This window comes from Homo sapiens, chromosome 8 (assembly GCF_000001405.40).
Source record: "Homo sapiens chromosome 8, GRCh38.p14 Primary Assembly".
Classification (NCBI taxonomy): domain Eukaryota; kingdom Metazoa; phylum Chordata; class Mammalia; order Primates; family Hominidae; genus Homo; species Homo sapiens.
Window position 1 is genome coordinate 88,843,064 of NC_000008.11, and position 27,655 is coordinate 88,870,718.

At 35.3% G+C, this 27,655-nt stretch overlaps 1 long non-coding RNA gene across 1 annotated transcript in view, besides 2 other annotated features; it reads left to right on the forward strand.

Annotated features, from left to right (window-relative positions):
- LOC105375630 (uncharacterized) overlaps positions 1-27,655 on the forward strand; it is a 559,756-nt gene that overhangs the window by 515,220 nt on the left and 16,881 nt on the right. The window contains exon 5 of the long non-coding RNA XR_001745653.3: positions 8,238-8,437. This is a non-coding gene — a long non-coding RNA (uncharacterized LOC105375630). The remainder of the gene's footprint in view (positions 1-8,237; positions 8,438-27,655) is intronic.
- Positions 16,861-17,421: an enhancer, noted in NCBI's record as "NANOG-H3K27ac-H3K4me1 hESC enhancer chr8:89872153-89872713 (GRCh37/hg19 assembly coordinates)". NCBI's record gives its function as "activates a minimal SCP1, AML or CMV promoter by ChIP-STARR-seq in naive H9 embryonic stem cells {active_cell/tissue: H9 hESC(naive)}" and the evidence as "EXISTENCE:reporter gene assay evidence [ECO:0000049][PMID:30033119]".
- Positions 17,422-17,981: an enhancer, noted in NCBI's record as "NANOG-H3K27ac-H3K4me1 hESC enhancer chr8:89872714-89873273 (GRCh37/hg19 assembly coordinates)". NCBI's record gives its function as "activates a minimal SCP1, AML or CMV promoter by ChIP-STARR-seq in naive H9 embryonic stem cells {active_cell/tissue: H9 hESC(naive)}" and the evidence as "EXISTENCE:reporter gene assay evidence [ECO:0000049][PMID:30033119]".

Consider the following 27,655-nt stretch of genomic DNA (forward strand, 5'->3'; position numbering starts at 1 on the left):
AATGGAATTTTTAAATAAATGTAGCTGTTAATATTTTTAGAAGATTTAGGCTGTTTTGAAGAGGAGGAAGAACTTAAAAGTGATTTTGTCCATGTCTTTCTATTTCAGGTTCAACAAGTTAAGTCCTAGTGATTTTTATCAAAAATTAGAAATACTGGTTACATTTAATTGGGTCTTTTTTTTTTAAACTAAGCTTGCTTTAAGATAATTATTTGGAAAGTAGAAAATTATGTAACATAAATAGCATGCAAATTTTTAAAAAGCTACAATTAGTGGCCTCACTAGTAGTGGGGCCATCTGGACACTAGCCCTTGTGATGCAGGACAGGCAAGCCCTGAAATTGGGGCTTAGCTCTTAGAGTTCTTGGCTTCACCCAGGAAATAATTCAAGGAAAAGCTGGTGATGTTAGACATCAATCCTTTGTTGAATGGTACTACTCCTTGTGGAGCAGATCTAACTCAGTAGGCAGTGCATCCAAAGTCAGCAACTTATGGGCTCCTGGCAACAGTATTTATTCTCATGTAAACCCACTTTAATTACATGCAAATTAAGTGGTGGGTTATTTATAACTTCCAATGCAAATTGAGGGGTGGGTTATTTATAACTTTCTAGAAAAGCTGTGGCAACTTCCGGGTCATTGTCATGACGTTTATAAACTGTCCTGGTGCTGGTGGGAGTGTCTGATGCTAATGAGCAATGAGGGCAGCCAGGAATTGCTTTTGTAGCCATCTGCTGGTTCCTGTCAGTTTTGTCACTTTATCCTGTCTGGACCAGATCCTGCTTTGGTCAGCAGAGTTGTGACCAGAAAACAAGTGCTGCTGGTCTCCTACCTCACTTGGACCTACTCTGTAATAAAAGAGGAAAAAACCCAGTAGCAACTTAAGGTTAGTTTGAAGGGTTTCAGAAAGCAGACGTAAAAAAAAAAAAAAAAAAAAAAGCAGCAGTGATTCAAATTTTGTGACTAACCCAAAAAGAGAGAGCAGTTGTGTCACAAAGAAGTTTGCTAGTCTGTCCTGAGATCCAGGGGTAAGACCACTTATACCAAAGCTCTGAGTCATGATGAGAGTTGTTTGCTTTCATCAGAGCTGTTAGTTTGATCAGTAAGCACTTACTGAGCTTCTACCTTCACTTGGCATTTTTGTAGATGCTGAGAATATCATGGTAACAAAACAAAATTCTTATCCTCATGAAGCATATGCTTCATTTGGAGACACCAACAATGCGCGTGTGTGTGTACAAGAATAAGAGTAACAAAGGGACTAAAATAGGCAAATGCGAAAGAGGATGGTGGAGAATACTGTATCAGACTTGTTGCCCATAAAATCCTTTCTAATAAAAAGAAACATGGCAGAGATTTGAATGAAATGAGTATTCAGAAGAGCAGCCACACATGTTAAGTTCTTGATAAATACTGTGCATGAAAGAATAATAAATGGATATGACTACTGTTAAAGGCAAGACTGCAAGAGCAGTAGCTACAGACAGGTTTGATCCCAATTTTAGAAGAATACACATAAAAGGTTTGTAATTTTATAGTGAGAGGCAACAGTTAATCAAAAGTATAGTTTATAAAACTTCTGGGTAAGGAGTTACACATATTTTTGGTTGCAGTGAGGCAAAAATAATACAGAATTGTGGGAAATTTTATGGGTTTTATTGAAATAATTGTTAAGAATACGTTGTATTTATTGAGTGCCTACTGCTGTGTACTTGTGCTAGATGCCTTATACAAATTCTCAATTAATTTTTATTGCAACATTTCAAGTAAAGAGGTAGTTTCTCAGTTTTTCCGGAAGTAGAGGGTTGGAATGGTTGAGTGACTTGCAAATGTCCATTTGGTTTACAAATGTCAGAGCCAACTTTGGAACCCAGGTGTCTCCAACTGCAATGCATTACTAAGAAAAGAAAATCTATGTTTTTTTTTTTTCTAAACTTAGTGTTTTATCGTGAAGAAACCAAAAAGCTTAAATTGAAAAAATGTATTGGTAAAAAATCTAAAATTTAGTGATATACATGAAACAACATGGATTAATTTCAAAAATATACCCAATGAATGACACATAAAGGATCCAGAACAGACAAATCCAATCTATGTTGCTAGAAAGCTGATCTGCAGTTACCCAGGAGAAGGTGGGAATTTGGGGTTGACTGCAAAGGGGTGTTAGTAATATACCTGGATGATGAAAACAATTTATATCTTGAATGTGATGGCTACATAGGCAAATACATTTGTCCAAACTCATAAAACTCTATATTAAAATAAAGGCATTTTGTTACTAAATTACAACTCAACAAATTTGACTTTAAACATTAAGGCTGGGTGCGGTGGCTTACACATGTAATCCCAGCACTTTGGGAGGCCGAGGCAGGCAGATCATGAGGTCAGGAGACTGAGACCATCCTGGCCAACATGGTGAAAACCTGTTTCTACTAAAAATACAAAAAAAATTAGCTGGTTGTGGTGGCGCATGCCTGTAGTCCCAGCTACTTGGGATGCTGAGGCAGGAGAATCACTTGAACCTGGGAGGTGGAGGTTGCAGTGAGCGGAGATCATGACACTGCACTCCAGCCTGGTGACAGAGTGAGACTCTGCAAAATCAAAAGAATTAAAAAATTTTAAAAATTAAAAAATAATAGCATATAATTTGTTTCAGTTTAAAAAAATTACCAATTATTTTTAATAACTTAAATAAAACAGTAAACATATTTCTTGCATTTGTTATTCATTTAAAAGCAAAGCATTGAAAAAATGTATACAATATAGTCCTTTTTCTATGCTATATGATTCACACCCATATAGCAAATATTTCTAAAGTTGTAGAGCTTCAAACAAATCATCTAACATCTATTTAATCTAAAGCTTTTTTGGCACTGTGTATTAATATAAAATTTTCTTAATTTTTTGCCAAAAATAAGCTAAGGCCAACTATGGCAGTTTTGGCTGCACTCACATTTTTAATAATGCTTATCTGGCCTTTGTGCATAAATGAAAAGTGAATTGCAAGATGAAGAGACAATACCCTGAGTTTTACTGTCCAAGTAATACCGGTTTTAAGAAAACTTCACTTGAATCTGGTTTATCTTTACATTACCAACTAATGTAATGACCATGTTTCATTGTCAAAGGCTATTCTTTTTCTGTGAAGCCATTATACAAGTCAAATTGAGATCATTTCTCAAGAAATAATCTAGAGAAATATTCTCACAATATTTTCCTGTAATCGTTATTGCTATGTGTCTGACACATGAAAAGATTAGATGGATTTAAAATTAAGAGATAGTTGCTAATTTTTTTTTAATACGGGATGTTAACTACTTGAGAGGGACAGTTACGTAGTGTAGACTGACTTTACAGACATATGGTTGATGAATTTTGACACGTTAGGATGTTTAATGACTCCATCACCTAAATGTTCTTATTCTCAGACTAACCCAGATTTTGGAAGAAGAACATCAAAACTTTCAAAGGAATAATATTTATCTAAAATTAGAGTAAAAATAGAAAAACAAGATTAATATGAAAAGAAAACTTAATATGGAGCAAACTAAAAAGCTTCCTGGATGTACACTTGGTATTCACTTGAAGTTGTCTATTGTGCTTAATACAATTATACAGTATATTCAGTCCTGAAATAATGTTAGATATAAATTAGCCAAACAATCCTGTGAGATGTAAAACTGTGTAGACCTGAGTTAAATACAGATATTCACTTTGGGAAGACTCTGCATCTCCAAAACAAGACATACAAGAAACTAGGGGGCCTTTGAGAGCATCCACTCAGCTCCGCATTGTGAAGATTAAAAAGAGCATCTGTGAAAATGAATTCTGAGTGGTACCTATAGCAGGAGCTAAATTAGTTTGGCAGAGGCCTTATAAATAAATCTGACTGAAAGAAAAAAAAACACAGAAAGGATATATTAGAATTCTTTTGCATATCATGTTGTTGTTTCCTTTAGACTTCCCTCTGAAATATTGTTTTTCTAATCTAATTACTAGCATAATATGTATCACTCTCATTTGTATTCAAAAGGAATATTGGATTAAGTATGGAAGTGTGCGTTTTCTATATTGGCTTTCTATCCACCCTGCCTTTACAGCTGAGAAGTTTATGCTTCATACCTTCTACTCTCTTGCTCATGAACCTGTGGCTCAGTGGCATGCAAAGTAAGATCACTTGCAGGATGAAAGCAGCATTTATGATTGCTGGGCAGGTTTCCTGAGGTCCTTCCTAGAGCAGAAAAGTAATGAAAGTTTTTAGACATATATTGAGAAAAATTGATTAAGTGAACTAAGATAATTTTAAAATACATTTCTTCTATTAACCATTCCTAGGAATCATAAAGAAATTTATCAAGATTCTTTTGGTAATTTTTAAACAGTAGTTAATTCTATCATAGGCTATTCATAGCAGAGCTGTTCTTTACATTCGCTTAAATGAAATAAACTGGCTTTACATTTTTTTTTTCAAATACAGGCAGCATTTTTTCAGAGAAAATTAGAGAAATAAAAAAGTTATTTTGTCATTGATTCTGTTTATGTGATGGATTAGGTTTATTGTTTTGCGTATGTTGAACCAGCCTTGCATCCCAGGGATGAAGCCAACTTGATCGTGGTGGATAAGCTCTTTGATGTGCTGCTGGATTCGGTTTGCCAGTATTTAATTGAGGATTTTTGCATTGATGTTAAGCAGGGATATTGGCCTGAAATTTTCTTTTTTTGCTCTGTCTTTGCCAGGTTTTGGTATCAGGATAATGCTGGCCTCATAAAATGAGTTAGGGAGGAAGCCCTTTTTTTTCTATTGTTTGGAATAGTTTCAGAAGGAATGGTACCAGCTCCTCTTTGTACCTTGGGTAGAATTAGGCTGTGAATCCATCTGGTCTCAGTAGATGCAGAAAAGGCCTTTGACAAAATGCAACATGCTTTCTTACTAAAAACTCTCAATAAACTAGATATTAGTGGAAAGCATTGCAAAATAATAAGAGCTATTTATGACAAAGCCACAGCCAATACAATACTGAATGGGCAAAAACTGGAAGCATTCCCTTTGCAAACCACCACAAGACAAGGATGCCCTCTCTCACCACTCCTATTCAACATAGTATTGGAAGTTCTGGCCAGGGTAATCACGCAAGAGAAAGAAATAAAGGGTATTCAAATAGGAAAAGAGGAAGTCAAATTGTCTCTGTTGCAGATGACATGATTGTATATTTGGAAAACCCCATCATCTCAGCCCAAAAACTTCCTAAGCTGATAAGCAACTTCAGCAAAGTCTCAGGATACAAAATCAATGTGCAAAAATCACAAGCATTTCTATACACCAATAACAAACACAGAGCCAAATCATGAGTGAACTCCCATTCGCAATTGCTACAAAGTGAAAAAAATACCTAGGAATACAACTTACAAGGGACGAGAAGGGCCTCTTCAAAGAGAACCACAAACCACTGCTCAAGAAAATAAGAGAGGAAAATAAATGGGAAAACATTCCATGTTCATGGATAGGAAGAATCAACATTGTGACCATACTGCCCAAATTAATTTATAGATTCAATGGTATCCCCATCAAGCTACCATTGACTTTCTTTCAGAGAAAAAACTACTTTAAATTTGATATGGAACCAAAAAAGAGCCTGTATAGCCAAGACAATCCTAAGCAAAAAGAACAAAGCTGGAGGCAACACGCTAACTGACTTCAAACTATATACAAAACTACAGTAACCAAAACAGCATGGTACCAGTACCAAAACAGATATATGGACCAATGGAACAGAACATAGGCCTCAGAGATAATGCCACACATCCACAATCATTTGATCTTTGCAAACCTGACCAAAACAAGCAATGGGGAAATGATTCCCTCTTTAATAAATAGTGTTGGGAAAACTGGCTAGCCATATGCAGAAAACTGAAACTGGACCCCTTCCTTACACCTTATACAAAAATTAACTCAAAATGGATTAAAGACTTAAACGTAAGATCTAAAAGCATAAAAACCCTAGAAGAAAACCTAGGTAATAGCATTCAGGACATAGGCATGGACAAAGACTTCATGACAAAAACACCAAAAACAATGGTAACAAAAGCCAAAATTGACAAATGGGATCTGATTAAACTGAAGAACTTCTGCACAGCAGAAGAAACTATCATCAGAGTACACAGGCAACCTACAGAATGGGAGAAAATTTTTGCAATCTATCCATCTGACAAAGGGCCAATAACAAGAATCTACAAAGAACTTAAACAAATTTACAAGAAAAAAACAACCCCATCAAAAAGTGGGCAAAGGATATGAACAGGCACTTCTCAAAAGAAGACATTCATGCAGCCAACAAACATATGAAAAAAAGCTCATCATCACTGGTCATTAGAGGAATGCAAATCAAAACCACAATGAGATACCATCTCACATCAGTTAGAATGGCGATCATTTTAAAGTCAGGAAACAACAGATGCTAGAGAGGATGTGGAGAAATAGAAACACTTTTACACTATTGGTGGAAGTTTAAATTAGTTCAACCAGTGTGGAGGACAGTATGGGGATTCCTCAAGGATCTAGAATTAGAAATACCATTTGACCCAGCAATCCCATTACTGGGTATATACCCAAAGGATTATAAGTCATTCTACTATAAAGACACATGCACAGGTATGTTTATTGTGGCACTCTTCACAACAGCAAATATTTGGAACCAACCCAAATGTCCATCAAAGATTGACTAGATAAAGAAAATGTGGCACATATACACCATGGAATACTGTGCGGCCATAAAAGAAGCATGAGTTCATGTCCTTTGCAGGGACATGGATGACGCTGGAAACCATCATTCTCAGTAAACTAACACAAGAACGGAAAACCAAACACTGCGTATTCTCACTCATGAGTGGGAGTTGAATAATGAGAACACATGGACACGGGGAGGGGAACATCACACACTGGGGCCTGTCAGGGTGGGGAGCTAGGGGAGGGATAGCATTAGGAAAAATACCTAATGTAGATGACGGGTTGATGGGTGCAGCAAACCACCATGGCATTTGTATACCTATGTAAAAAACCTGCACATTCTGCATATGTACCCCAGAGCTTAAAGTATTTTTAAAAAGTTATTTTATTAAATAATGTTAAAATAAATTTATCAACAAGCATAGTTTATTTCTGGCTGAAAAATGAAATAGATTTATTTAAAAAGGAAATGAGTTTAGGTTTATGTCTTCAGTGACTAAATAGTTAAGCAATTCATTAATAGACTTGGATGGTTATTAGTTACTTAGGTAGTTACTAATGATTTCAGGAACTACAACAACTAGCATTTAATTCCTGGACCTGTTAATCTCAATTTGGGGAAGCTATTTAATATCTCTAAATTTTAGTTCTTTTATTCTGGAAATGAAAAAGACCGAGAATTGCCAAAATCTTTAAGAAAAGAAATTTTGGGGGATTTACACCATGTAATTTAAAATGTATTATAATGCCATAGTAATCAACATATTATGGTATTCATGTAAGAATGGAAATGCAGATCAATGAAACAGAAATCTTGAGAAATGGACACATGCATATATAGTCAATTGATTTTCAACAAAATAACAAAACTAATTTAATAGAGATAATATATTTTCAAAATGTTTATGGAACAATTGAATATGCTGATCCTGAATCTTTTTGTCATAAAATATACAAAAGTTAAATAGAAATTAAATAGAAGTGGTTTATAGAACAATATATGAGCATAAAATATAAAATATCTATTCATAGAAAAATAAAACATAAATTATTGGTAACTTTGTTTAGTGAAAAAGGTTTTATACAATAATTTTTTTTATGAAAAGAACAAACCACAAATGAAAAAAGAATGGTGCTATGGACCTCATCAAAGCAAACAAAAAAAAAACTTCTTCAAAAGATCATTTTCAAAATACTTAGTGAATGACTTATATCCAGAATATATAGGAATCACTTATAAAATATAATGCAAAAAGAAACCCTATGTTATATAAATAGAAAAAAAAGATTGACTAGATGTTTCCCAAAGGAGATATGCAAATGGCTATTGATCTCATTAAATGTTGATTAACATCAGTGGTTTCAGAGAAAACAAAAGTGAAATACAGACTCTCAAATAGTGTTTCATTGAATGTCCTTTTATTATAATATTGATAATGAATAAAAAATTGCTCATAAGAAGGGGCCACCATCTGTATAAAGTTTGCATGTTTTTCACATGTGGGTTTTCTCTAGGTATCCTGGCTTCCTCCCACACCCCAAAGCTGTGCACACGAGGTGAACTAGCGTACCCACATGGACCTCATCTGTGTGAGTGTGGGTGTGTTTGAGTGCACCCTCTGATGGCATATCATCCTGTCCAGGGTCGTTCTTCTATTGCTCTGAACTGCCAGGAGTGGCTCTACCCACCTGTGACCCCAAACTCGTCTCAGCAGGTAAATAATTACCTTACTTGTTTTTATTAATCTGTCTTACATGTATGCATCACTCACATTTATTTCAAAGTTTAATATTAGAAGAGTTTTTGTCTTCATTTAGAAGTTTGGTGGTGGTGTTTTCATGACCAGAAATATACTATAGAAACTTAACTCTGGTTTATATTAATTAGCTTATGGTAAAATTGATTTCCTATAGGTCATTTCACTTAAAGTTACAGTTTTCAAGGATCTATTGAGGGTATTAAGAGATGACTTACTGTTTACTGCACAAACACAGTAATTGCTAAAATTTAATAAGACTAATAAAACCAAGTGTGGGGACGTTATGCAGAGAAACTGAAAGCATTGTACTATACAGGTGGGCATGTAAAATGGTTATACTTTGGAATACTATTTATCTTTCCACATAAATTTAATCATACACATACCTTATGATTTAATAACTCCACTTTTAGGATTATGCTCAACAAATAAGAAAACATGTTCATAACGATTTGTACAATAATATTTTTGTATAATTATTTATCATATCCAAACTTAAGAACCATCCGAATGGCCATAAATAGAGAGTAAACAATTGCAGTACATGTATACAGTGAATACTACTCAGCAGTGAAAGGGAACCACTGGATAATACTTGTAATGATATCAGTAAAACAGACATTATGCCACATAAAAGAGGTCACAGGGCAGTACATGCTGTGGGGTATTGAGGCATCCCAAAGTAAAGGCAATGGAAGCAGTGTGCTCAGGTGCAGACAATGAGTGTGTTTATTACCTATAGAATTCCAAACACTGCAGCAACAAATTACTCACCCCCTTCAATGGGGAAAGCCACTTCCACCCTACTTTATTTCTATATCATTGGTATGGTTTCATTTTTATAAACTTTTAGAACAGAGAGACCTAAACTGTTGTGATACAGGAACTGATGGACATGGTGGTTAAAGGTGGGGCTCTTCAGTCACAGGAACCTGAGCTTTAGTTCGGCTACACCACTTGATTGTCTTTGTGATCTTCAGTGGGTTGTTTACATGTCTAAGCCTCACACTGTGTATTGTCCCAAATGGGGTCAGTGAAACCTATGTCATGCCCTTGCTGGTACTATATTCAGTGCTTAATGAGTATTATTGTCATTATTTTTCAAAAAGTTTATTTCATGGAATGCTTATTCTCAGATGCAACAATCATAATCCTATCCTGGAACAATATAAGAGCAATAGTATTTAACAAGGCAAAACCAAACAGAACAAATAATTGTTTGAGTAGCTTGTATTTTCTCTGATTTGTTACAAAATACAAACTACCTAAAGAGTTTTTAAAATATATTATGTGGTAAATAAATATTTATTTTTGAAGGCAAGGGTAACATAAAAGCTAAGATGATGCATTCATATTTACATATTACACAAGAGCATGAATCTATTAAGAGGTTGCTTTGAAAATATTAGAGATGCCATCAAAATGAAAGAAATATATTTTTAAAAATCCAAGCACTTTATCTTTGTTTATGAAAAGAACGATGAAAAAATATTCAGGAAACTGTTAACCAGGACTGTAACTTTATGCAGTCCTTTTCTTCAGTGTGTGAAAAATAATAAGATTGAAATTCAAGAGTTCTTTACATCTTCCCAACATAGTGAATGTTTATAAAAGCTTGCTGAATAAACTTTATATTGATACCAGTAGTTGAAATTAATATTTAGAATTACTTCCTTAAATATTACAAAGAACGTGGTGTTGGTTAATATTTTAGTAGGATACCTGTTTCCTTTTGACAGTCATCTGAAGCTCCCTACAAATGGTGTTTCACTATGCTGAAAGTGCTATCTGTCCAGAAAGCTATAAAACAAAGATCCTGACTATTTATGGTCATAAATGATTCAGGATCACTTAGTTTGCTGTGAGAAAAAAAGTATTTTTTAACATATTTGAAAGAGGTACTCAGGAATATAATCATAAATTTGCCTTTCTGGTGAGTTTCTTAGGGAGGTAGAAAGGTTTTCCTTTTCTTTAAAATAAGCTTTATTTTTTTTTTTTCCTGAAGGTAAAGCTAAAAGCAGAACAAAACAAAAACTTAGCTTATTTAGGAGTTCTAGGTTGGATTCTAGATTTGTTGGACTAATTTTTAACCAACCATTAACCTTTGTAAACAAATTTTCTCTATCCTCAAAATGGTGATGATGTATCTATTCTGACTACTTCACAAGATTAAAGAAACAGATGAGCTATTGGATATGAGAGTGCTTTATACATATTAAAATGCAACATATATTGTAACTGTTGTTTGAATTCTGACTGTTTCTATTTTTACCTTTCAATATAAATGGCAAAATGTTTTCTGCTCCTTTAGCTCTAAGCATTGTCTTACTTTTCAGGAATCCCATACAAAAATTTCACAGATTTTAAATTCTATGTTTTATGAAATTGGCTTTTCATTGGAATCAGTGGGGGCCTGTTTATACTTTCTCACATACCTGGGGAATAGGGACTATGTTTTATTTATCTCTGTATCTTCCATAGTGTGACGGACAGTTTTACACAAATAACAAATAGCAAGTTGCTCTATAAACACGTGTTCAATGTTTTCTGGTTATGCTTATTATCTAAGTAAACCAAAACCACAACAAAGAGAAGACATTTCAATATTTTAAAAAACATTTTAAAGAGCCAGATGAAGAGTGTTGTGTGTAAATATATTTCAGCATGTTTTACTGAGTTTTATTTCCATCCTGAAGAAGGTATGAAGACATGACTGAAGGGCAGGCAGAGAGTTCAGCCTTTTTTTTGTAAGGTAAATGGTGGACTCGACAACATGCTTTTCTGAACTACTCAAACACAAAACTCACTGAAAATAACTGGTTTTAGAAGTTTGAGTCTATCAGATTTTTACCAAGTGATTATTAAGAAATGAAAAAAATAATGTATAAGAAGGTTATTGAAGATATTTTGCTCTTAATCATAGACCTTTAAAATTTTTTAAAATAACACAGGATATTAAGCCCATTAGCAATTACTGCATAATAAAACAATCAAATTTAAATATAAAAATCACAAATAACTTCAACTATCATTTCCAAATCAGTGTTTATGTTGTTTCTTTTTTTGTTTGTTTTTGTTTCTTTTCTTTTTTAAAATTTTATTATTATTATACTTTAAGTTTTAGGGTACATGTGCACAACATGCAGGTTAGTTACATATGTATACATGTGCCATGCTGGTGTGCTGCACCCATTAACTCGTCATTTAGCATTAGGTATATCTCCTAATGCTATCCCTCCACCCACCCCACAACAGTCCCCAGAGTCTGATGTTCCCCTTCCTGTGTCCATGTGTTCTCATTGTTCAGTTCCCAAATATGAGTGAGAACATGCAGTATTTGGTTTTTTTGTTCTTGCGATAGTTTACTGAAAATGATGATTTCCAATTTCATCCATGTCCCTACAAAGGACATGAACTCATCATTTTTTATGGCTGCATAGTATTCCATGGTGTATATGTGCCACATTTTCTTAATCCAGTCTATCATTGTTGGACATTTGGGTTGGTTCCAACTCTTTGCTATTCTGAATAGTGCCACAATAAACATATGTGTGCATGTGTCTTTATGAGCATGATTTATAGTCCTTTGGGTATATACCCAGTAATGGGATGGCTGGGTCAAATGCTATTTCTAGTTCTAGATCCCTGAGGAATAGCCACACTGACTTCCACAATGGTTGAACTAGTTTACAGTCCCATCAACAGTGTAAAAGTGTTCCTATTTCTCCACATCCTCTCCAGCACCTGTTGTTTCCTGACTTTTTAATGATTGCCATTCTAACTGGTGTGAGATGGTATCTCATTGTGGTTTTGATTTGCATTTCTCTGATGGCCAGTGATGGTGAGCATGTTTTCATGTATTTTTTGGCTGCATAAATGTCTTCTTTTGAGAAGTGTCTGTTCATGTCCTTCGCCCACTTTTTGATGGGGTTGTTTATTTTTTTCTTGTAAATTTGTTTGAGTTCACTGTAATTCTGGATATTAGCCCTTTGTCAGATGAGTGGGTTGTGAAAATTTTCTCCCATTTTGTAGGTTGCCTGTTCACTCTGATGGTAGTTTCTTTTGCTGTGCAGAAGCTCTTTAGTTTAATTAGATCCCATTTGTCAATTTTGGCTTTTGTTGCCATTGCTTTTGGTGTTTTAGACATGAAGTCCATGCCCATGCCTATGTCCTGAATGGTATTGCCTAGGTTTTCTTCTAGGGTTTTTATGGTTTTAGGTCTAACATGTAAGTCTTTAATCCATCTTGAATTAATTTTTGTATAAGGTGTAAGGAAGGGATCCAGTTTCAGCTTTCTACATATGGCTAGCCAGTTTTCCCAGCACCATTTATTAAATAGGGAATCCTTTCCCCATTTCTTCTTTTTGTCAGGTTTGTCAAAGATCAGATAGTTGTAGATATGCGGCGTTATTTCTGAGGGCTCTGTTCTGTTCCATTGATCTATATGTCTGTTTTGGTACCAGTACCATGCTGTTTTGGTTGCTGTAGACTTGTAGTATAGTTTGAAGTCAGGTAGTGTGATGCCTCCACCTTTGCTCTTTTGGCTTAGGATTGACTTGGCGATGCGGGCTCTTTTTTGGTTCCATATGAACTTTAAAGTAGTTTTTTCCAATTCTGTGAAGAAAGTCATTGGTAGCTTGATGGGGATGGCATTGAATCTATCAATTACCTTGGGCAGTATGGCCATTTTCACGATATTGATTCTTCCTACCCATGAGCATGGAATGTTCTTCCATTTGTTTGGATCCTCTTTTATTTCATTGAGCAGTGGTTTGTAGTTCTCCTTGAAGAGGTCCTTCACATCCCTTGTAAGTTGGATTCCTAGGTATTTTATTCTCTTTGAAGTAATTGTGAATGGGAGTTCACTCATGATTTGGCTCTCTGTTTGTCTGTTATTGGTGTATAAGAATGCTTGTGATTTTTGTACATTGATTTTGTATCCTGAGACTTTGCTGAAGTTGCTTATCAGCTTAAGGAGATTTTGGGCTGAGATAATGGGGTTTTCTAGATATACAATCATGTCTTTTGCAAACAGGGACAATTTGACTTCCTCTTTTCCTAATTGAATACCATTTATTTCCTTCTCCTGCCTGATTGCCCTGGCCAGAACTTCCAACACTATGTTGAATAGGAGTGGTGAGAGAGGGCATCCCTGTCTTGTGCCAGTTTTCAAAGGGAATGCTTCCAGTTTTTGCCCATTCAGTATGATATTGGCTGTGGGTTTGTCATAGATAGCTCTTATTATTTTGAGATACATCCCATCAATACCTAATTTATTGAGAGTTTTTAGCATGAAGCGTTGTTGAATTTTGTCAAAGGCCTTTTCTGCATCTATTGAGATAATCGTGGTTTTTGTCTTTGGTTCTGTTTATATGCTGGATTACATTTATTGATTTGCATATATTGAACCAGCCTTGCATCCCAGGGATGAAGCCCACTTGATCATGGTGGATAAGCTTTTTGATGTGCTGCTGGATTCGGTTTGCCAGTATTTTATTGAGGATTTTTGCATCAATGTTCATCAAGGATATTGGTCTAAAATTCTATTTTTGGCTGTGTCTCTGCCCGGCTTTGGTATCAGGATGATGCTGGCCTCATAAAATGAGTTAGGGAGGATTCCCTCTTTTTCTATTGATTGGAATAGTTTCAGAAGGAATGGTACCAGTTCCTCCTTGTACCTCTGATAGAATTCGGCTGTGAATCCATCTGGTCCTGGACTCTTTTTGGTTGGTAAGCTATTGATTATTGCCACAATTTCAGAGCCTGTTATTGATCTATTCAGAGATTCAACTTCTTCCTGGTTTAGACTTGGGAGGGTGTATGTGTCGAGGAATTTATCCATTTCTTCTAGATTTTCTAGTTTATTTGCGTAGAGGTGTTTGTAGTATTCTCTGATGGTAGTTTGTATTTCTGTGGGATCAGTGGTGATATCCCCTTTATCATTTTTTATTGCGTCTATTTGATTCTTCTCTCTTTTCTTCTTTATTAGTCTTGCTAGTGGTCTATCAGTTTTGTTGATCCTTTCAAAAAACCAGCTCCTGGATTCATTAATTTTTTGAAGGGTTTTTTGTGTCTCTATTTCCTTCAGTTCTGCTCTGATTTTAGTTACTTCTTGCCTTCTGCTAGCTTTTGAATGTGTTTGCTCTTGCTTTTCTAGTTCTTTTAATTGTGATGTTAGGGTGTCAATTTTGGATCTTTCCTGCTTTCTCTTGTGGGCATTTAGTGCTATAAGTTTCCCTCTACACACTGCTTTGCATGTGTCCCAGAGATTCTGGTATGTTGTGTCTTTGTTCTCATTGGTTTCAAAGAACATCTTTATTTCTGCCTTCATTTCGTTGTGTACCCAGTAGTCATTCAGGAGCAGGTTGTTCAGTTTCCATGTAGTTGAGCAGTTTTGAGTGAGTTTCTTAATCCTGAATTCTAGTTTGATTGCACTGTGGTCTGAGAGACAGTTTGTTACAATTTCTATTCTTTTACATTTGCTGAGGAGAGATTTACTTCCAAGTATGTGGTCAATTTTGGAATAGGTGTGGTGCGGTGCTGAAAAAAATGTATATTCTGTTGATTTGGGGTGGAGAGTTTTGTAGATCTATTAGGTCTGCTTGGTGCAGAGCTGAGTTCAATTCCTGGGTATCCTTGTTAACTTTCTGTCTCGTTGATCTGTCTAATGTTGACAGTGGGGTGTTAAAATCTCCCATTATTATTGTGTGGGAGTCTAAGTCTCTTTGTAGGTCACTCAGGACTTGCTTTATGAAACTGAGTGCTCCTGTATTGGATGCATATATATTTAGGATAGTTAGCTCTTCTTGTTGAATTGATCCCTTTACCATTATGTAATGGTCTTCTTTGTCTCTTTTGATATTTGTTGGTTTAAAGTCTGTTTTATCAGAGACTAGGATTACAACCCCTGCCTTTTTTTGTTTTCCATTTGCTTGGTAGATCTTCCTCCATCCTTTTATTTTGAGCCTATGTGTGTCTCTGCACGTGAGACGGGTTTCCTGAATACAGCACACTGATGGGTCTTGACTCTTTATCCAATTTGCCAGTCTGTGTCTTTTAATTGGAGCATTTAGTCCATTTACATTTAAAGTTAATATTGTTATGTGTGAATTTGATCCTGTCATTTTGACGTTAGCTGGTTATTTTGCTCGTTAGTTGATGCAGTTTCTTCCTAGTCTCGATGGTCTTTACAATTTGGCATGATTTTGCAGTGGCTGGTACCAATTTTTCCTTTCCATGTTTAGTGCTTCCTTCAGGACCTCTTGTAGGGCAGGCCTGGTGGTGACAAAATCTCTCAGCATTTGCTTGTCTGTAAAGGATTTTATTTCTCCTTCACTTATGAAGCATAGTTTGGCTGGATATGAAATTCTGGGTTGAAAATTCTTTTCTTTAAGAATGTTGAATATTGGCCCCCACTCTCTTCTGACTTGTAGAGTTTCTGCCGAGAGATCCGCTGTTAGTCTGATGGGCTTCCCTTTGTGGGTAACCCGACCTTTCTCTCTGGCTGCCCTTAACACTTTTTCCTTCATTTCAACTTTGGTGAATCTGACAATTATGTGTCTTGGAGTTGCTCTTCTCGAGGAGTATCTTTGTGGTATTCTCTGTATTTCCTGAATCTGAATGTTGGCCTGCCTTGCTAGATTGGGGAAGTTCTCCTGGATAATATCCTGCAGAGTGTTTTCCAACTTGGTTCCATTCTCCCTGTCAATTTCAGGTACACCAATCAGACATAGATTTGGTCTTTTCACATAGTCTCATATTTCTTGGAGGCTTTGTTCGTTTCTTTTTATTCTTTTTTCTCTAAACTTCCCTTCTCGCTTCATTTCATTCATTTCATCTTCCATCACTGATACCCTTTCTTCTAGTTGATCGCATGGGCTCCTGAGGCTTCTGCATTCTTCACGTAGTTCTCGAGCCTTGGCTTTCAGCTCCATCGGCTCCTTTAAGCACTTCTCTGTATTGGTTATTCTAGTTATACATTTGTCTAATTTTTTTTCAAAGTTTTCAACTTCTTTGCCTTTGGTTTGAATTTCCTCCTGTAGCTCGGAGTAATTTGATCGTCTGAAGCCTTCTTCTCTCAAGTCGTGAACGTCATTCTCTGTCCAGCTTTGTTCCGTTGCTGGTGAGGAAGTGCATTCCTTTGGAGGAGGAGAGGCGCTCTGCTTTTTAGAGTTTCCAGTTTTTCTGCTCTGTTTTTTCCCCATCTTTGTGGTTTTATCTACTTTTGGTCTTTGATGATGGTGATGTATAGATGGGTTTTTGGTGTGGATTTCCTTTCTGTTTGTTAGTTTTCCTTCTAACAGACAGGACCCTCAGCTGCAGGTCTGTTGGAGTTTGCTAGAGGTCCACTCCAGACACTGTTTGCCTGGGTACCAGCAGCAGTGGCTGCAGAACAGCGGATTTTCGTGAACCGCGAATGCTTCTGTCTGATCCTTCCACTGGAAGTTTTGTCTCAGAGGAGTACCCAGCCATGTGAGGTGTCAGTCTGCCCCTACTGGGGGGTGCTTCCCTGTTAGGCTGCTCGGGGGTCAGGGATCAGGGACCCACTTGAGGAGGCAGTCTGCCCGTTCTCAGATCTCCAGCTGCGTGCTGGGAGAACCACTGCTCTTTTCAAAGCTGTCAGACAGGGACATTTAAGTCCTCAGAGGTTACTGCTGTCTTTTTGTTAGTCTGTGCCCTGCCCCCAGAGGTGAAGCCTGCAGAGGCAGGCAGGCCTCCTTGAGCTGTGGTGGGCTCCACCCAGTTCAAGCTTCCCGGCTGCTTTGTTTACCTAAGCAAGCCTGGGCAATGGCAGGTGCCCCTCCCCCAGCCTCGCTGCCGCCTTGCAGTTTGATCTCAGACTGCTGTGCTAGCAATCAGCAAGACTCCATGGGCGTAGGACCCTCCGAGCCATGTGCGGGATATAATCTCCTGGTGCGCCATTTTTTAAGACCATCGGAAAAGTGCAGTATTCGGGTGGGAGTGACCCGATTTGCCAGGTGCCGTCCGTCACCCCTTTCTTTGACTAGGAAAGGGAACTCCCTGACCCCTTGCACTTCCCGAGTGAGGCAATGCCTCGCCCTGCTTCGGCTCGCGCACTGCGCGCTGCACCCACTGTCCTGCACCCACTGTGTGGCACCCCCTAGTGAGATGAACCTGGTACCTCAGATGGAAATGCAGGAATCACCTGTCTTCTGCGTCGCTCATGCTGGGAGCTGTAGACCAGAGCTGTTCTTGTTTGTCCATCTTGGCTGCTTCCCCCACTCACTCACTGACTCCTATGTTGTTTCTTTAAAGGGCTCTTGGGTTTGAGTACTTCTTTAACTGAATAAAGAAAAATGAATGACAATATGTAAGATAGTTTTACTCTCTAAATTTCTTTATATATGACTACTTACATATAAATACAAAGTTTATTATTGAAACACATAGCAATATTTTAAAAATTAATTCACATTGCTGCAATTAATTTAATTATTGTAATTTTCAATCTCCTAACTGATGGAAAAGCAGTTCATAAAATAATAATTAAACTACTTGAATTCTGTATTTGACTTTATCTCAGACCTGCAGTACACCAAAGGAATATTACATTTTTAGACTTTATTCAATTTATTAGAAATATGATAATAATGGTAAAGTGTGAGGTTTATGCAAAGAAGCAGGAAATATATTTGGGGGGGCATATTTTGATTTGTGAGAGGTTTTGATGGCAATTGAAGAGGTGTGGACACTCTTGTCATTAAGAAGGTCATCTAATCTAGTCAGCTTGAATAAATGAAACGATGTCCAACTGGACAGATATCCTCTTTTATATGAGTTCAAAATGTGATGACTCACATTTTAGATGTCTTATATGCATTTCAGCTGTTATAACTTGTACCAGCTTATAAAAGATTTTCCGCTCAAATTCCTGAAATGGGGGTTCACCTAGTCACTGGGCAGTCCCGTCCCTTTATCCTCTCTCTGTTTCTTTCCTGCTGCCTGTTGTATTGCACCACAGCACAATAGACTCACTTTACCTAATTGCAGTAATATTATCTAATCTTACCTAGTAAGAAGATTTAAGTGGACATAATTTTATAAATTTTCAAGAAGCATAAAGCATCATTTTTTAGAGAGAGCTGAATAAGCAATTTGAATTTTACAAATGAAGTGCAAAGCAAGTTTTGACTGCTCACAAATCTGTTTGCTTTTGAGAGTGGTATATTTCTAGGCTGAGGTTTCAAAACTATTGAATCAGGTTTTCAAAGGCCAAAATATGTTTTCCAGATGTATCTTAAAATGTGACTACTAAATTCAGTTTTATAGGTGCTCACTTGACTCTTATCTTCAGTCTTATTAGGAATTCTGGAAAGTTATTATTGTAGCATGGTTTCATCTTAGGCTATAGATTTTAATGATGTTACTGTGTACTGGATTATTAAGCCTTGATTGCATTTCTAAAGATAGTGATCTTTACAATAAGAAAATTAAGACAAATGTATTCAGGGAAAGGGATAAGTGAAAATCTAGTTAATCATTCTATGGGATGTTAATGTGGATACTGAGATCCAGGTGGTTGCAGCAGCACAGTCAGCATCTGAAAAAAAAAATACCCTTCATTCTCATCACCTTTAAGCTATTATCATGTATATTAGTCCATTCTCACACTGCTATAAAGAAATACCTGAGACTGGGTAATTTATAAGGAAAAGAGGTTTAATTGGCTCATGGTTCTGCAGCCTATCTAAGACGCATAATGACATCAGCTTCTTAAAAGGCCTCAAGGAACTTACAATCTTGGCAGAAGGCAAAGTGGGAGTGAGGCAACCTACATGGTGGGAGCAGCAGTGAGAGAGAGATGGGAGGTGCTACATACTTTTAAATGACCAGATCTCAGGAGAACTCACTCACTATCACGAGAACACCAAGGGAGAAATTCACCCCCACGATCCAATCACCTCCCATCAGGCCCTACCTCCTACTGGGGGTTACAATTTGACAGGAGATTTGGGCAGGGACACAGATCCAAACCATATCATCATGTTTTAATGTATCACTAAAATATGAGTCTGATCTTCAGTTTACCAAACTCATAATCTATGATATCACCTTCTACTAAAGACTCTATAAATTCAAAACTGATCTTGGTATGTTCAAATAAGTTGTTTGTGTCCAAATCATTTTAGAGTATTAAACATTTGTTATCAAACTTGTCTCTCACTTGAGAGAAAGACATAGATGAAACAATGTAAAAGTATGGGAATATTTTAGCTTAAGAAAAATGAAAGTTACTGTTATTTTTATGTGGAAAGTTTGCTTATATATTGGCTGCAGAAATTTTATCATATTCTTTTTGCTAACAGCTTAAATAGCTTTACCCTGAGACACCCAAGAGATCCAAATGACAATTAATTTATTCAAAAATGAAGGATACACTGTTACTGGTGAATATGTATAAAGTTCCTGCATAATTACAGATGAAGCATCCTTTATTAGAAACACATCTCAAATGACCTAAGTTATCTTGTTGAGTTATCAAGGGGAAGGCCGAGGGTTTTGATGCCAAGGATGAATGTGGATCAGACCAAATTTTACCTCCGTAATGCTTGCTTTTAATAAAAACCAGTGACCTCAGACGAAGAAAGCAACAATATCCATGAGATGTATATTTTATCTGACTGTATAAGAACCTAAGTCCAATTTTTTTTTTTTTTTTTTTTTTTGAGTGGGAGTCTTGCTCTGTCGCCCAGGCTGGAGTGCAGTGGTGCAATCTCAGCTCGCTGCAAGCTCCACCTCCTGGGTTCACGCCATTCTCCTGCCTCAGCCTACCAAGTAGCTGGGACTACAGGTGCCCGCCACCATGCCCGGCTAGTTTTTTTTGTATTTTTAGTAGAGACGGGGTTTCACCGTGTTAGCCAGGATGGTCTCGATCTCCTGACCTCTTGATCTGCTTGCCTTGGCCTCCCAAAGTGCTGGGAATGCAGGCGTGAGCCACCACGCCCGGCCCTGTCTATGTCCAATTTAATTGGTATATTACAACTCTTTAATTCCAAGTATTGCCGATCTTCAAGAAATGCAGTACAAGGCACACTCTAGAAGAAAAGCCATTCCTGTACATACCTTTGAATTAAATACTTGCCTCTTCCTTTACACTGATGAATTTGGCTGAGCGACTCAAAAGGGAAACGACGTGTAAAGCTTCTTCACCTATTTTGCTTAATGCCAGAGCTTCTTAATTGAAATCTACCACGGATATTTCTCCTTGGATTCCTACACTTCCTTCTGTAGGGACAAGTTGCTTTGTTAGGAAAAAGCAAATACAGCTCAAAATTATGGAGGAAGAAAGGTATGAAAGGAAAATATGACCACATTTCTAGCTCTCAGGTTATATTGACTTTATTCTTCTACTGTTTTCACCACTTATCTTGAGATTCCCTGGGACAAGCAAAGAGAAAGTGATATCAGCCATTTTGTCTTAGAGATTTACCCATATGTTTTTCTTTCTCTCCATTTTTTTTTTTTTCTCATTTTACCTTATTGCGTTTGCACAGCAGAGTAATTCTCCCTAGCATAGTTTTCTCTACGGTAACTTGAAGTCTTCTTTTCTGAGGAAGCTGGGATGATAAAGTAAGATAAGGGACTTTATGACCCACATGAAGAACAGATTCGGAATGATGGAAAGAAAAGACACACAGAAAGTTTACCTATTCAAAACGTGGCAAAATAAATCCAGACAAGGTATAGAACTGAAAGATCAGCAACAGTTTCCCAGGACCTGGAGATGTAAGCTTCTAGCTCCCCAACGTGTGGATTGTTTTTAAAGTGAAAGAAGGTTAAATCAGACCTCAGGAAACTCACCTGCCCCTTTCCTAGCTGAAGCAGTTCTGCTTGTAGGCTACGGACAGCGATATCTAAGCTGGATGTGTCACTGTTTTTAGTCTTATGCCATGTACATTATGACTAAAGAGCATAATAAAGTACGATACTCTCAGGACTGAGCATTGTTAATGCTGAGCATGTTTCAGCAGCCCAAGCTAAGGAGGCTGAATGAAGTATTCCCTAAATTTAAACCTGCAGAGATAAGACAAGGTTTAATTTTCTAGAAGTATCTGGGAGTCATGCCAACAGGCTTTTGTAGCAACTACAGGTTAAGTTTTCCAAATCCAAAAACCTTCAGTGAGCATTTCCTTTGAGCATCATGTTGGCGCTTAAAGTTAGTTTAGAATTTGATATCATTTTGGATTTCAGATTTTACCTGTATAAAGTTATTGTTACCCTCCATTCTAATACATTCATTTTCCTTATTAACATAGCTTCTGCAATAATTTACAAATTTATATATGATAAAAATAAAAATATATGACATATTTATATATGATATATTGTGCTTTGTTTCAATTAGCATATTGAAAGACCTTGGATATCACCTAGGATATCTTATACATAAGCCATGTATATATATACACACACATATATGATGAATATATTATAATACAGTACAATGAATATATAAAAATACATATTTATGTATCAAATGAAATTTTATATTATATATAACGCATATGTATTATTTATTATATAAAATAATATATAACAATATATATGACAATATTATATATATAAAATATAATTTATAACATATAAATTTTTTTTGAGACAGAGTCTCACTCTGTCACTCAGGCTGGAATACAGTGGCATGATCTTGGCTCATATATATATATATCTCTCTACACACATATACATATCACAGTTTTATTATCTATTTATTTCCTGATGGACACTTAATTTGATACCATATCATGGACATTGTGAATATTGCTTCAATAAATATAAAAGTGCAGTTTCTTTGGCATACTGATTTCATATCCTTTGAATATACACCCAGAACTGGGATTGCTAGATGATATGGTAATTTCATTTTTAATTATTGAGGAATCATCATGCTCTTTTCCATAATGGCTGTACCAATTTACATTTCCACCAACAATGTATAAGGATTCTCTTTTCTCTATGTCCTTGCCCACGTTTGTTGTCTTTTGACTATTTTATCAGAGCCAACCTAACAGGTATGAGGTTACATCTCACTGTGGTTTGGATTTTCATTTTTCTGTTGATTAGTGATGTTGAACATTTTTTCATGCTCATTTTTTCATGCCTGGCTGGTCATTTGTATGCATGTGTTTGAGAAATTCTCTTCAGGTCCCTTGCCCCTCTTTTAAAGCGTGTTTTTCTTACTATTCAGTTGTTTGGGTTCCTCATATACGTTGAACATTGTGTCTTTTTCGGATGTATGGTTTGCAAGTATTCTCTCCCATTCTGTAGATTGTCTCTACATTCTGTTGATTGTTTTCTTTGCTGTGCAGAAACTTTTTATTTTGTTGTTATCCCATTCATCTATTTTTGCTTTTGCTGTCTGTGCTTTTGGGGCCATATTCAAATAATCATTGCCTAGGCAAATGTAGTGGAGTTTTCTATTTCCTTTTAATAGCTTCACATTTTCTGGTCTTATATTTAAGTTATTAAACCATTTTTAGTTGATTATTGTATCTGATGTGAGATGATAGTCTAATTTCATTTTTCTACATGTGGTGGACAATTATAGCACAAGGCAAAGGAGAAGCAAGCACCTGCTTCACAAGGCGGCAGGAAAGAGAGAGCGCAAGGAAGTACCACATTTTAAAACCATCAGGTCTCCTGAAAACTCAATCACTACCAGGAGAACAGCATGGGGGAGACTGCCCCCTGATCCAATCACCTCCAACCAAGTCCTTCCCTTGACACGTGGGGATTACAATTCAAGATGAGATTTGAGTGCAGACACAGCCAAACCATATAAAGTTTGCTAGTATTTTGTTGAGGAGTTTTGAATCTATGTTCATCAGGGATATTGCCCTGTAATTTTATTTTTTTGTCATACCCTAGTTGGGCTTTGACATCAGGGTAATATTGGCCTCTAAAAATGAGCTTGGAAGTATTATCTCCTCTTTTATTTTTTTGAAGAATTTGAGAAGAAAGGATTGTTTTAAGTTCTTTAAATGTTTGGTAGAGTTCAACAATTATGTCCTGAGCTTTTCTTTGATGATACCTTTTATTACTTACCCAATCTCCATACTTTATGTTGGTTTCTTGGGATTTTCAATTTATTTTAAGTCTTGGAAGGTTTTATTATCTAGGTATTTAGGTTATTAAATGTGTTGCCATATAGTTTCTCTTAGTAGTTTCTTGTGATTCTTTGTATTTCTGTGTTATCAGTTGTAATGTCTCCTCTTTCATTTCTGGTTTTATTTGTCTTCTCTGTATTCTTAGTTTAGCTAAAAGTTTATCGATTTTGTTCCTTTTTTCTAAAAACCAACTGTTGGTTTCATTGCTTTTTTCTCTTGTTTTTCTGGTCTCTACATCATCTGTTTTTCTTCTGATCTTTTTTTTTATTTATTCTACTAAAGTTAGGCCTAGTTGGTTCTTCTTTTTCTAGTTTCTTGAGTTGTAACATTAGGTTGTTTATCTGGAATTTTTCTTTCTTCTTCTTTTTCTGATATAAGCATTTATTGCTATAAAATTTCCTCTTATAACTGCTTTTGCTGCATTTCATAATTTTGGTATGCTGTGTTTACATTTTTCTTTATCTCAAGATTTTTTTAAAATTTCCTTTCAATTTCTTATTTGATTCATTGGTTCTTCTGTAGTACATTGTTTCATTTCCATTTATTTATGAATTTTCCAAAATTCTTCCTGTTATTGATTTCTAGTTTTATACCATTGTTGTTGGAAAGGATTCTTGCTATGTTTCAGTCTTAATCTGTCCAACCTGCTTGGCTGCCTAACATATGATCTGTTGTGGAAAATGTCCTATGTGCATTTGAGAAGACTGTATATTATGTTACTGTTGGGTGAAATGTTTTGTATGTGTCTGTCAGGTTCATTTGGTCTAAAGTGCCATTTTAGTACAGTGTTTTCTTACTGATTTTCTATCTCGATATCTGTTCATTGTTGAAAGTGATACTGAAGTTCACTACTATTATTGTATTGCAGTCTCTCTTTCCCTTAGGATCTATTAATATTTGTTTGGTATATTTAAGTGGTATATTTAGGTGCATATGTATTTATAATTGTTATATCTTCTTGTTAAATTTACACCTTTATCACCTTTATGCCTCCTTCTTTTTTTGATACTTAAAAGTTAATTTTGTATATATATACACACACAATATATATACATATATACATACAAAATTAACTTTATAACTATATATAAAGTTATATATATAAGGTTAATTTTAAAGTTTTATATATATTTATATATATTTATATATATTTATATTTATATATATAACTATATATATAGTTATATATATTTATATATAACTATATATATTTATATATAGTTATATATATTTATATTTATATATAACCATATATATTTATATATATTTATATTTATATATAACCATATATATTTATATATATTTATATATATAAAACTATATATATATATAACTATATAGCTATATATATATATATATATATATATATATATATATATATATATAGTTACCATTGCTTTCTTTTAGCTTCTCTTTGCCTGGAGTATCTTTTTCCATTCCTTCACTTTCACATTATGTGCCCTTAAAGTTGAAGTGTTTCTCTTATAAGCAGCATATAGCTGGGTCCTGTTTTGTTTTGCTTTAATTTATTCAGTCACTCTGTATCTTTTGAACAGAGAATTTTATCCATTTAGAGTCTTTCCACTCTTGACCATAGCATGAGTTATTTGATTTATTTCATCAGCTTTTGTAATGTTTAGCATATAGATCTTGCACATTTTAACTAAATCCATACTTATTTTTGATTCATTTTGGGGGGGAGCAAATGTAAATCATATGAGTTAAGATAAATTTTGCTTATTGTTCTTACTGTACTGAAATGAGAGATTTTACAATGTTAACTTTGTATTTTGTGACTATGCCAGCTAATTATTTTCTAGGAGTTATTTTTAATAGATTCCATGGCTTTTTTTGCATGGAAATTTGTGTATATAGATAGGTACAGTTTAATTTAGTCCTTTCTAATCTGTATATCTCATTTCTTTTCTTGCTTTAATACATTGGTTAGGCCTCTTGTATGGTGTTAAATATGAGTAATGAAATAAAAATTTTGGCCTTGCCATCAATTTTAGGGGGAAGGCATTCAGTCTTTCAAAATTAAGAATTATGTTAGTGGTATTGTTTTTTTTTTTCCAGAAGCCTTTTATCAGGTTGATATTTTTTTTTCAATTTCTTATTTTCTGCTAGTTTTTATTATGAATCGATCATTAATTTTGTCAAATACTCTTCTTCATTAGTTGATATGATCATGTGCCGTCTCTTCTTTAGACTGTTAATATGATAGATTACAATCACTAATTTTTGAGTATTGAAAAACTTTCCCATATGTAGGGTAAATATTGTTTTGTTATAATATAGTATTGTTTTATATATTGTTGGATTTAATTTGGTAATGTGTTGTTGAGGATTTTTGCATCTAAATTCATAAGTGATATTTCTCTGTAGTTAATCTTTCTTAGAGTGTCTTTGACTCATTTCGATACTGTTCATGTAGTAATGGTTTTATAAAATTAGTTGTGATGTGCTCTCCTCTCTTCTATTTTCTGAAAGAAATTGGTTTTATTTCTTCTTTAAATGACTGGTAGAACTTCTCAGTGAAATCATCCGGAACTGAAGATTTCTTTTTCAAAATTAATGTTCTCACGCCTGTAATCCCAGAGGTTTGGGAGGCCAAGGCGGGTAGATCATGAGGTCAGGAGTTTGAGACCAGCCTGGCCAGCATGGTGAAACCCTGTCTCTACTAAAATTACAAAAAATTAGCCAGGCATGATGGCACATGCCTGTAATCCCAGCTACTCAGGAGGATGAGGCAGGAGAATTGCTTGAACCCAGGAGGTGGAGGTTGCAGTGAGCCAAGATCATACCATTGCACTCCAGCCTAGGCAACAGAGCGAGACTCTGTCTCAAAAAAAAAAAAAAAAGGAATAAATTCAGTTTATGTAATAATTATAGTATTATCCTACTTCATCTTTGGTGACTTCTGATAGTTCGAGGTTCTCTAGGAATTGGCATATTTTATTTATGTTGTTGAACATATGTGATTTGTTGGTAATACTTTTTTTAAGTTATGCTTTTCATTTTTGTGGTTTGTGTAGTAATATCTGCTTTTATTGTCGACATTGGTAATTTGTGTCTACTTTCTTCTTTTTCTTGTGAATATCAGTGGAGATTGATCAATTTTTAAAGTCTTTTCAACTAACTATGTTTTGATTTCTAAAATTTTCTCTAGGATTTTAAATTTATAATTTTATTGATTTTTGTTTCTGTCTTCATTTTACCCTCCATTTGCTTAGTTATAGTTCCTTAGGATGAATGTTCTGGCTATTTACTTGAAATCATTTTTCTTTTGTAATATGAGCATTTAATATTAATTTCTATGTATTTAATTAGCTGCATATCACATACACTTATTTGTAATATTTTCATTTTAATTCAGTTAAAAATATTTTCTAATTTTCCTTGACATTTTCACTTTGTACTATAGATTCTTAAGAAAGTATTAAATTTCCAAGTGTTTAGTGATTTTTCCTGCTATCTTTCTTTTACCAATTTCTAGTTTAATTCTATAATGTTCAGAGAACATACTCTGTATGAGTTCTATTATCTAAATGACGTAAGATTTGTTCTATTATCCAGAATATGGTCTACTTTGGTGCTGTGGTTTGAATGTGTCCTCAAAAAGGGAAGTGTTGGAAACTTAATCCTCAATGCAACAGTGTTGAGAGGTGGGGCCTAATGGGATGTGTTTAGGTCACCAGGGCTCTACCGTCATTAATGAATTAATACCACTTATAAAAGGGTTTGAGGCTGTAAATGTTCTCTCACTCTCTCACACATGCTCTCTTTTCTTTTTTCCTTACATCATGGGATGAGGCAGCATGAAGGCCCTCACCAGATGTAGCCTTCTCAACATTGAACTTCTCAGCCTCCAGTACTGTAGTAAATAAATACCTGCTTTTTAAAAATTACTTAGTGTCAAGTATTTTGTTATAGCAGCACAAAATAGAATAAGACAAGGCAAATTAAAGGTTTAGTAAGCTAAGTGTTCAAGAACACATGACAAAAACGTGCCTGCTACTATTGTTGGGTGGCATTCTATAAATGAAAT